At 38.7% G+C, this 12,316-nt stretch overlaps 1 protein-coding gene across 1 annotated transcript in view, besides 1 other annotated feature; it reads left to right on the top strand.

Annotated features, from left to right (window-relative positions):
• Window positions 1-12,316, top strand: part of TOX (thymocyte selection associated high mobility group box) — a 313,736-nt gene that overhangs the window by 40,487 nt on the left and 260,933 nt on the right. The gene's annotated exons all lie outside the window — the stretch shown is intronic.
• Window positions 2,478-2,727: an enhancer, noted in NCBI's record as "active region_27415". NCBI's record gives its function as "activates an Ori minimal core promoter by ATAC-STARR-seq in GM12878 lymphoblastoid cells {active_cell/tissue: GM12878}" and the evidence as "EXISTENCE:reporter gene assay evidence [ECO:0000049][PMID:35858748]".

Below are 12,316 nucleotides of genomic sequence, written 5' to 3'. Positions count from 1 at the left end.
CATTGCTATAAAGAAATACCTGAGACTGAGTAATTTATAAAGAAAAGAGGTTTAATTGGTTCACGAATATATAGGAAGCATGGTGCTGGCATCTGCTTAGCTTCTTGTAAGGACCTCAGGAAGCTTACAATCATGGTGGAAGCCAAAGAGGGAGCAGGCACCTCACACAGTGAAAGCAGGAGCAAGAGAATGTGGGGGTTGGGGCAAGTGCCACGCCCTTTTAAATGACAAGATCTTGTGATAACTCACTGTCACAAAGACAGCACCAAGCCATGAGGGATCTGCACCTATGACCCAAACCCTCCTACCAGGCCCCACCTCCAGCACTGGGGATTACAATTCATCATGAGATTTAGGTAGGGACAGATACCCAAACTGCCTCGATGCTGTCCCAGGCTCCTGGAGGAAGAGTCTCCCTAGCAGATACTTGCACAGGACTGCAGAGACAGTGACTGCCCAGGTCACTTGGTTCCCATCTCTGCTGTGTTATAAAGTTTCATAAACTGGCCTGTGAGACTCTACTTGTCACCAAGCTTGGGTTGTAGCATAAGTAGAATTAAGCTTTATGACTTTTGGTGACATTACTAATAATTTTCTTAATGTAGCTGTTTGTATGGATAATATTTTTCCTCCATTTCCTTTTTTCTTCATTTTTCCCCTCCAAAGTTGATTCATCTTCTCCCTGTGAACAGCGCACGTATTCCCAACTGCAACCAAGGCCTGCACGAGAAGCAAGTTGCCACTTACTACATTTCACATTTGTCTTACCATGATTAAGGGGCAAAAAGGATTGTTCCATATATAGAGTTGCCAGGCTTTCAATTGCCTCTATTCTTTATAGTCCAATAAATAAATTTTCCTTTTTTAATAGCACATTTTCTACATCATAGCCCTTAGCAAACAAGCATGAATCAATAAGTATCGAACTTCATTCAGTATCAACCATGTAAATAAAATGTCAGTGTTCAGGCTCTTCGTCTGGAAAAGTTTTAGTTTTTCATCAAGGCTATCTGGAACCTTCAGACTCCCACCAGGAGGGGATTGGAGCAGCAGCAGATCTCAGTGCCAGGAGAACACAACAGAAGGGGGCTGCATGTGTAGATGCCTATATTATTCAGGGATCTCTTTAAGAGGGATCTCAGAGACCCAGGGATCACAGCAACGAGACACACATTCCTGGGTACCAAGCATCATGCCTCACCCATTTTAGAAGTGAATGACCTCACTCCTACAGAGACTTTATGATAAAAACTAACCTAAGAAGACACTCTAAACTTAACATGAGCCCTCAAGAACAGGTGATCGATTTTCCTGCATACTTAGAGAAGAAAGGGGAAGCTGGAGTCACAGCATAGGCATTGGGTATCTGAAACAGGGTTAGGAAGTAGTGTGTTCATTGGCAGAATAAAGAGCATGCACTCCTATGGTTATGGACTTTAACTTACAGGGGAAACATTTGTGACTGAGGAAAGGTGGTTATCTGTGCCTGTGGTAGAACTTCCTCAAAGATGTTCATCCCAGAGCAGAGCTGCCTTATGGGGTGTGGGTCAGAGCTCTGCCCTAGCTCTAACACAAGGAGTGCAGGAGCTGGGTTACCCCAGCTTGTTCACTCCGCTGCCTTCAATATTTTCAGTAAAATGAGAAAATGCTACTGGCTTTTTTGGTGGTTGTGAGGTTTCAATTATAATATGCAATAAGATATATAAAATTGCTTTGTAAAGTGCTATACAAATGATACTCTAGTATTGATACTGATTGATTATGTCTTGGTAGTTGATAGACTTGGTTTTTCCTGAATTTAAGAGAGATCATATGGGATACAACTAGAGAACAGTGTAAGGCAAAATATAATTAAATATGAGACTGTTAGGTTGGGTACTAAAAAGGTTTGCCCTATGATCCCTGATGAAGAGAGCATGTTTTTGAATAGAAATATTCTTTTCACTGAAAACATACATGAGATTATTTATTTATAACAACAACTACTGCAAAAAAATTAGCATAAAATTAGGAGCATAAAATTAGCAACATAAAAAATCAGCTGTGTAAAAAATAACCATTATATTAGTCACATTGTATATTTTTATCTCTCTGAGGAATAGAGGAAGATGCCAAAAGTATAGGTGCCGAGTCTGAAATATCAGTTATTTCTTTGGCATTATTATGAATTCTTTTAAAAAAAATTAAGTAGTTATACTTGATTTGACTCCAGATTCACCAGTGTGAAAATTCTCTTTCAGCATATAGGCAAAGCCAGACTTGAGAAGCATCCACCATTCAGACAAAGGCACTCTCACATCTCCTCATTTGGTTTTTCCAATAGTGAGAAGCTCCTTGTATCTCTGGGTAGTTTACCTTCCTTTGCGTCTGAAGGACTGCTGTTTTCACTTCCTCACCAGGCTTTTCTAATCAGTGTCTTGCAGCGTGACTTTCACTTCAACCCTATCTTACCGTCTCAGGGGTATCCACTGAATTCCTCCAGCTAAATCATTTGTATCCTCACTGGATTCTCTTGGATGTGTACTGCGCAGTGGAGGTCCCTCCCCTTGAAAGATTCTTCTAACCTGGTTTACAGCGCCTTCTTCTCTCTGACTTCCTGAGCTCTCCCTTCCCTCCCTCATGTAGGCCCTTCCTGACCCCCTTTTTTTTTTTTTTGAGATGGAGTTTCACTCTTGTTGCCCAGGCTGGAGTGCAATGGCGCGATCTGGGCTCACCGCAACCTCCGCCTCCCGGGTTCAAGCGATTCCCCTGCCTCAGCCTTCTGAGTAGCTGAGATTACAGGCATGCACCACCACGCCTGGCTAATTTTGCATTTTTAGTAGAGACGGGGTTTCTTCATGTTCCTGACCTTTTAATGCTGAGCAGGCCCTTTGACTCCACCTTCCTTGCTTTCTCTCTCCCTTTGCCCTCATCCCTCTAGTAGGCACTATCTCATCAAGGTTTTAGCTATGACTGTGCTGCTGACTACAAAACCAGTATCTTCAGTTTTATATTTACAGATGTAGGGGAGGAAAAATACCTTTTTATTTTGCTCTTCTAGGTTCTCAAGTGGGGCCCCTATAAGAAAAGACAGATTGGCAAGAGAAAAGCTTACAAATATGTTCAAGCTGAGTTTTATATGGCATGGGAGCCTCCATAAAGAAATGAAGACCTCAAGCCACCTCATGTTAGAACAAAAGGTCATGAGCTGCACGGAGGAAGCTTTGCAAAGCCTGCTCACTCGATCTCTTGGCGTCCCTCTGTCTTCAGATAAGGACATTCCTTTCCTCTGGGTATACAGTGGGCACCTCTCATGTGAGGGTCTCATGACCTGCTTTGGGGGAAGGTCAGAGAGTCCCTTCAGCATCTGCTGTTTCTTAGATTCCTCCAGCTTAGACTATTCACTATGTCAAGGCACCATATTTTTGGAGTGACATGTTCTGAACCCCATCACAGATGTTTTCAGGCCGACATTTCCAAAGCCAAATTTATCCACTGTCTCCCTTTCACCATTTTTGTCATTAGGATCTTTGTTCTTCTGATCCTTGAGGGTTAAAAATCTAGGAGTCTCCTTTGAGGGCACCGTTTTCTTCATCATATTAATACATTTTGTCAATTTGTCTTACTGGATTACATCTGCGTTCCCATTTTCACCATTACCATCTCATGGTTGTGTCACTACGAAAGACTTTGTCTGCAGTCCCTGCCTTCAGTTCTGCTTACAGGAACAGACTAGCAGGTAGTCTGCTCTTCCTTAGTGACAATTTAATTTTCCCATTCCTCTAGTGGCTGCCTATTTTCTCTTGCATGGCCTCCACATAATGCCAGCCACCTCTTTCCAAAGGCCTGGAGTCTCATGCTGTCTGAGTGTTGGACATTCTCTTGTCTTTGTCTTTTCCACGCTGCTGTCGCTCCTTTAATGCTCAAGCTATACTCAAATTTTTGGCTTCCTAAGAGGCACAGAGTCAAGGGCCTCATTTTCCTTCTGAACTTATCTTGAGATTCCAATTCACCTTGATTTTTTTCTCTAACTTTAATTTCTGTCTACAACATCCAGAAGCAGTCCACTATATCTTAGTCCTTAATATTGTGCTTTTTTTAACGCAATATTGCATTGCTACCTCATCATTTTTGTGAATAAATAATGTCTCAATAATAAGATTCATCCGTCGGGGGCCAGATATTTTTCAGCTTGATCCATCCGCATATCTTACGAGGTACCTCGTAGATAGATGTTCATTCAGTACTTATTGCTTATAGATGTTCATTCAATCAGTATTGAATGAACCTGTATTGAATGGTAAGAAAGATGCTTCACTCTTCATCTGCTTCTTTTTCTCTGCTCTACAAATATTCAACATTTTGCTGAGAAATGCAAATGTATTTCTCTTATGTAGGAATTACATTTACTAGATAGCTATCAATATGTTTCTTAAGCACCCATTATGTAAGTACTTGAGCAGCACTATTAGCAGGGAACACAAGTTCCTTGCCTCTCTTCAATTGAAGCTTAATAGATATTTGTTCAGAGAACAGATAGACAGCATGTTTGCCGACAGATTTATTGTCGGAGAAGTTAAGAGTTGAGAGGTTAAGTGACTTGCCCAAGGTTACTTATTTTGTGGTCGTGGTACTTATTGCCATGGTTTGAAGTGGAAGATTGAAATTATTATCTGGACAATGCAAGCTTTAAGAAAAGAAAAATATTTAAATACCAAGGACAATGAGGAAATGGGATAATGCTTTATGAACTTTGAAAAGTAATGCTTTGTTTTTCGTAATATCCGCAAGTCACACTGGACCCATGCTATTTAAGTGAAGGGCCTCACAGAAAGTCACAATTTAGGACTATATTTTGGGACCCTCTGGAGGGCAGAGGGGTGAATTGAGTCTATTCTGATATGTCATTTCTAGATGGAACACTTAATATTATTTAAGTCAGGTCTTCCAAATCTGTTGGAGGGAAGGCTCTTGATTTCTATTAAATAGATTTATGAAGACCATGAACAGCCTTCTCTAGCACAAGGATTTGTATTTAATTTTCTGGGATACCATCCAATGATAATGTCTTAAGCACTGAAATTCTGTGATTTAAAACAAAACAAAACAAAAAAACAAGATTAAAAAAAAAGTCTCCTACTATATGTGCTGGCCTGAAAGTAAATTGGACTCTAAATACAAGAAGCATGATCCTCAGACACTCACTAACTGCAAAAGCTCTTTGGTTTCAAGCAACGCATTTCGTGTGGCTTTGCTTGATAAAGTTTTGGATATTTGTTATTGCTGTTGTTTTTATTCATTTTTTGAAGTTTTCCTGGTGGTTTTTATGTCATAGCAAGGGATGTTTAACAAAATGCATAAGTTACAATGGTTATGGAATCTGAACAAATTTCATTAATCCTGGTCCCTGAGATGTTTCTAACTCCTTCTAAGATGATAAACAGAAGCGCAGATAGAGGTTTACATGTTCCCAAGTATCAGTTATAAGTATTGTGTGTTAGTAGTTGAAGCCTTTGTTAAGGAATTCGACTCAGTTTGTCACTGTTTAGGTATAAGAGACCCATTAAAGAGTATGCCTGTGTTGGGGGTGGAGATTGGGCTTTACCTTTCCATTTGAACTTAAATTTTTCAATCATTCAGGAGACAGCAAAAATGTGAGAGAATTATTCACTTGTAAAATTATTTTTAAGTAGCTGCCCTGTCACATATTTGATGTAAATTAGCTTCATTACATTTAGCAAGTGTTAAAAGTACAAGTATTTAAATTCAAGAACAATTTTAAATAATACCAAGCAAAGTATAAGACATTCTGGAAATTTTAATGAAAATGTGAAAAGAAAATGAAATTACAACCGTATCTTATATGCTGTCAATAATAGGTTTTTGTTTTACTTAAAAGTATTATTAAACTTATGATAGTTGAAATAGCTGTGACATAAAATGGAAGAATTAGAAATAATATAAGCGATAAGTGACAGGAATTCTTTGTCATGTTTCCAAATGTAAGATACCACAGCTGGAAAAGATAGTATCATGGTCTACAAAGGTCTCAGTAGTTTCACATTTCTGTGAAATGCAACTACGTGGCTATGTTCAGGGGAAGATACTAAATAACCAATTTCTTAATTCATTTCTATGTAATTTGTCAATTATTAGCATAATTTGTGTATTTCCCTTAAAATATTAATTTTTAATATCCTGTGCATCAGGCAGTTTCCTCAGCTCTTATTCTTTATCAGGAACCCTTCCCATGTCTTTTGGTTATGATGATATCATTGAATCTACTGGAGTCCAGCAGTGGCAAAACACCAGGAAATTCAGCACTGTTTCTACCTACCAGGCAATATATTTGGGGACTTTATTGCGGAAAGATTTTTTTAGTCACCGTGGCAGAATGCCTTGATGGTCAAGGAAAGATACAATCTAAACTGGTATTTTTACACTGATCAGAAATGCAAGTCTTATTTCCTTTTTGGTTGGCATGTTGATCTATGTTGTTTTTATAGTCACAAACCTAACAAAAGCATATACTTGAACTACAACGATGTCAACACAAACATTTACCTGAACACCTGTAATGTGTAATCTTGCTGGTCCCTAGGAGGTTGGTGGAAAAGGAAGGAGAATATAAGAAAATCAGAAGAAGCCCAGGCCTTTAAAAAACTTAAAAGATGATCTCTTCGATATTTTAACTTTATATTTTTAATGTTCATTTTTTGACAAATTGATAAAATTATGAGAATATTGTGTAGCATTCTGCTCAAAGGGAAAACATGAAAACTTAAGAAAATAGAAGAATTAAAATGATTGGAATTTCCTTTAAATATCTAATTTATCCAGATTAGTCTTCTTTGGCCATGAATCATAGCATGACAGAGCCAATTATTTGAGCTACTCGATGAGTAGATATAGATCCATATTCAGCTGATATCTATGCCATAAGTTTTCATAGTCACATTCAGTCAAAATCTACTTACCTGGATAAAGTTCATAGGTAAATTGTTTAGGCTTCCTTTCATTTTGGCTTCCTGGATACCATCCTAATACTATAGGGCATTATGGTGACCAAAAATGGTGTGTGGAAGTTTGGCTATCTCTTAATTCTAAAATTAATGAGTTTTAATCTTTCTGAAATTGTTTCTCTAGAAATTCTTTATTCCTTTTGCTTCTAAATGTGCAACTCCATTTAATTAAGACATAACTAAAACAAGCTGCCGTTGGAACTTGATAATTGAACAATTAATTAAGAAAGGAACATCTTTGTTTTGGAGGACTAGTGTCCAGTGAGGAAAAGATTCCCTGAGTGGAGAGCATTCCATATGAAGTTTGATAACTCATTCACTCTCAAAGACGTAAGCAGGTGGTTGGTGCTCTGTGGTGTGTATTAAGGGTGGAGAGTGTGTCACCCTAAGTATGTGTCTTGGAGTTTTGGCATCCTGAGGCCTTCTGCTCCAAAGCCCTCTGCCCCACTCTTCCTTACTCCCTCCCTCCTTGCAAGTGGAATCTCAGTGAATCAGACACTAAACCTGCGTTAACTTTAATAGATACCCGCCCCATGTCTGCGAGCTTTTCACGATTATTGTAGAAGCAGGAACAGAAGCAACAAAATATTTACACCAAATTGCAATTTATAATGTAGCTGGTAGTCATTCCCTTGTGTAGGTGCACTCTCTGTCTGAAAAATCAGAAACACCATGTTTTCTCACTTTGAAGGATATTGCTAGCTTTTTCTGTGATTCATTTCTCTATCGTACAGGGGTTTATTTTTAAATAATTGCTTTTGTTCGGGATGCAATTATGTGACAGCTTCAGCCACCTCTCATTCCCCTCTGAGGTAATTGTACATTCTTACCTCATTTTCAAGCTTTCTATCCCATTCACCTCATCAATTTCCAAAGATGACGTTGAAACATATTTCAGATGAAATAGAGGTCACTAAATGAACAAATACTTTCTTCTAGCCACAACATCTAAAAATCTCTCTGTACCCACTATTCTTTTCTTGTTGCTCTTGGATCTTAGTAGAGGACGCATCTCTCTCTCTCTCCTTCTAACCAAGACTGAGACCTCAACCTGTGCTCTTACCTGCTTTCCACCATCTTTTCTTCTGTATCTTCAGTCTTAGGTCTCCCTGTGTGTGTGTGTGTGTGTGTGTGTGTGTGTGTGTGTGTGTGTTTTCCTTGACATAATTTATGGAATGTGCACATACTGTCTTATGGAATCTGAACAAAGTTCATTAATGCTGATCCTTGAGATGTTTCTAACTCCTTCTAAGATGATAAATAGAAGCATAGATAGAGGTTTGCATGTTCCCAGGTATCAGTTATATGGATTGTGTGTTAGTTGTTAAAGCCTTAGTTGAGAAATTCAACTCTAGTTTGTCACTGTGTAGGTATAAGAGACCCATTAAAAAGTATGCCTGTGTTGAGGCAGATATTTGGCTTTACCTTTCCATTTAAACTTAAACTTTTTAATTATTCAGAAGAGAGCAAAAATGTGAGAGAATTATTCACTTGTAAGTTTATTTTGAAGTAGCTGCGCTGTCACATATTTGTTATAAATTAGCTTTATTACTTTTAGCCCATATTAAAAATACAAGTATTTGAATTCAACAACAATTGTTGCATGTCTCTTCCATCTTGAAAATACAAATGCTTAAAACCATGTTGCCCTTGAGGTTTCTCTTCTGTCTTCATCGCTTTCCCACCGGGCGCTATACAGGTCAGGGTACCGTGTTACACATTGTCTTCACCTGTTCCGACTCCTCAGTGCCCTTCACACTTCTTAGGCCCTTCTCGCTCTGAAAGGTCAACACTGAACTCTGTGTGGCCACATCCACTGAACACTTTCCTTTTTGAAGCCTCTCCTCTCAGTATCTGACTCACTGTACAACATATCCCAGCTTTTTCTTATACCTTTCTGGCTGTTTCTCCCCAAGTTCTTCTTCTTCTCTGGACCTCTTAGATCAATAAGCCAATGCATTTTAATACACTGAAAATCATGGCTTGAAATTTTGGCGCTATCTCTGATGGAAGTGTGCTGAGCCTGCCAAAGGTGTGGTTAAGAGCCATCATCATAAGTGCCGACATTCCCTGGGGCTGGTCTCCTTTCTGTAAACATTGTTTCCTAGGGTGATCGATCCCAAATAAATGGCTTCAGCTACTAACTATAAACTGATGTCTCTAAAATTATATCTTCAATGGAGATTTCTTTCATTTCAAAACGTCTATATTCAACTGCCACTTAGGCATCTATAATTCAATATCCTGCATCTTAAATCAAGATCAAACATAACACCTCTCCTCCCAAGCCTGTTTGTTTTCCTACTGTAATCTCTAATGTGGAGGATTGTACCAAATTACCTGGCGACCCCAGCCAGCATCCACGGAGGGATCCTCATTGCTCCCTCGTTATCAACTTCTGTAGCCAATGGACTGCCAACCACCTCTCTACTCCTGAACTTAATTTCTCTCTTATTTGCTACCCCTCTATCCTTCAACACTTCCCCTCGCATAGGTCAGCCCTCCTCATTTCTTACTGGATCACTTGAATACCCATCCGTCTTGCTGTCAACTCTCTTGCAAGGCTTGCAGCACTGCTGTCCCAACTCCTGGCCATGTCGCAGGAGCCCCCTTGCATGCACTATGCCCTTGAACCTTCATGAGCCTTGCTGTTTCAATCCATCGTGAATTCACACAGCCTACTTGTGCCTGACTCAGATGCCCCTCCCTGCTTCATCCGACTGACTCTTGCAAACTCTTCTCACATCACTCCTTTTAGGAAGCCCTTCCTGCATTGCTAGACCCAACTTCAGCTCTATATGCTTCCTCTGGGCCCGTGGCCACCCTCTTCCTTATCTTAACTTTAGGATGATAGGTAATGTTGTAATTCTTAGTGAAGTGGTTACAAACCTAGGCTCCACAATCAACCTGCCTGGAGCGTGGCCAGACTCGAACATTCGTCATGATGGTAGCAAGTTACCTCATTTGCCTGTGCCTCAGTTTCCTAATCATTAAAATGGGTATAATATTACCAAGCATACAAGGTTGTTGTAAAGATTAAATTAACAAAACCTGTAAAACACTCAGAATGCCTGATACACAAGAAGAGTAAGTCTCAATAAAAGTTTAGTTTTCTTTTTACTTTCCCTTTTCTCTTCCTCTTTTTTTACTTTTTTCCGCCTTATTCTGCTCCATCTCTTCTTGTTTTCCTTTTTCTCTTCTTTCTTCTCTTCGTTTTCCTCTTTTGTCACCTCTTTTTTTCCTCTTCTTCTTCCTCTTTCTTGTTTTCTTCTTTATCCCCCGTCTCCTTTACAGCTATCTCCCCCACTAGATAAACTCTGTGGACACTGAGACTATATTATATTTAACTCTCTGCCTTATATCTTGTCATAATGTTATTTCTTATTAGACACTGGGGAAAATATTATTTTTTTTCTGCTTTTAAACAATTATTATTTTCACCGTTCAGAGTTAATGAGCATATTTCCTTAAATTAACAATAAAATACAAGGATCTTCAGGAAACCTATTGAATGCTAAATATGCAAGAATTTTAGCATCTTCTAAATTCATGATAAGCATAATAATAATTTCAGATATTTATAGAACATGATGTGACAGGCATGGTTATACACAAATTCACTCCATTATTGTCCCCAATGATAATGTCTAATATTCACAAGTTACTTTATTAATTCACATAGATTACTTATTTCTACATATGGTAATTTTATCTGTTAGTAATTACTACAATTATACCTTTTCACATCAGAAATGGAATGACAGATATGGTTTTATATCTTAGAAGGTAGGAGAGAACTGCCATTTGATCAGAGAAACGGGTATGAAAAATCTTTAGTGTGTCACATATGCAAATTAATAGGTAAAATGGAGTCTTCGTTTTTTAACCTCGTGACCCAGTTGTAATCAGGGATGGAGTTTTTAACCATGAAATAAGCGCCTCCATTTTTTTTTTTATAATAGTAGGAGCCTGATCCTTGGAGCAATATCCTATCTCTGCCATTTACGAAGAGCACTTTGGAAGGAGAGAATATGTTTAGAAATAATAATGTGCTATGTTTGTTATTATTGTAGTTTTATTTATTTATTTTATTTATTTATGTTTTTGAGACAGAGTCTCACTCTGTCTCCCAGCTGGAGTGCAGTGGTGTGATCGCAGCTCACTGTAGTCTCTGCCTCCTGGGTTCAAGCGATTTCTCGTGCCTCAGCCCCCCAAGTAGCTGGGATTACAGGCGTGCACCATCATGGGTGGCTAATTTTTGTATTTTTAGTAGAGATGGGGTTTCACCATGTTGGCCAGGCTGGTATCAAACTCCTGACCTCAAATGATCCTCCCTCCTCGACCTCCCAAAGTGCTGGGATTATGGGGGTGAGCCCCCTCGGCCGGCCAGTTATTATTTTAATTTTAAATGAGAGCATTGTTTAAGCACATCTTTAAGATTGTTTTATTTTTGTTTTTACAAATAAAGAGGGATTCTAGGAAATTTGTTTTTAACTTACTTAAAAGTTAAAAATTGGTAGCATATCAACCCCCCGGCCCCCCTTCTGGATTTGCAGTAGGATTAAGATGCAGCAAGACGGTCTGCAGAAAAGGCGCTTGCAACTTGGTATGTAACTCAGTATTTCACAAAACCTTCCCCTCCTCCACCCCAATGTCTATTAATATCTGCAGGCACATTAGTGTTCTGTGGAACACAGTTTGCATAATATTGATGTGTTTACCAGTCTGGGTTCCATCCTATGAAATGTGGTGCATTATTTTTAACAGGTTTTGTTGCATTTTAGTCATAATGAGCTTTTGGTCATAATGAGTTTGACCCTCAAGCTTGTAAGTTGAGAATAACTGACAGTGAACAAGGAAATTAATTTGCAAATTAGACTCTTGGGGAGAACTTTCGTTCACTTCTTTCTTAACAGTAGCTGGGGCCTCCGAGTTTAAATGGCCTTCATACTACAGTTCAGTTTAATATTACACAGGGCAGACAAAGTCATAGATTGTAACTGAAAGAATTTTGGGGACGTTTTGAATGCAAAGAATTTGTGGGATCTATTTAATGGTGCTGCAAGACATAATTTGAGTGACAGAGGGAAGGCAGGCAATCTGTAATTAAAGAAGAACAAGGGTTCTTTTGGTTAGTCATTGTCACAAATATTTAATATTATGGGATTTGACTTCTATCTGTTATTGGAATTTTTTTTTTTACTGCAACTTGTTAAGATCGTAAGAACATTTAATACGTTATTAATCTGTTTTGAAAAAGCAACCATGTGGTTTCACTCATTTGTAATTTAATTTGACCTAGTAATGGAGAAGGA

Source organism: Homo sapiens, chromosome 8 (genome assembly GCF_000001405.40).
Source record: "Homo sapiens chromosome 8, GRCh38.p14 Primary Assembly".
NCBI classification, from domain to species: domain Eukaryota; kingdom Metazoa; phylum Chordata; class Mammalia; order Primates; family Hominidae; genus Homo; species Homo sapiens.
This window is presented reverse-complemented; position numbering and strand designations above follow the sequence as displayed.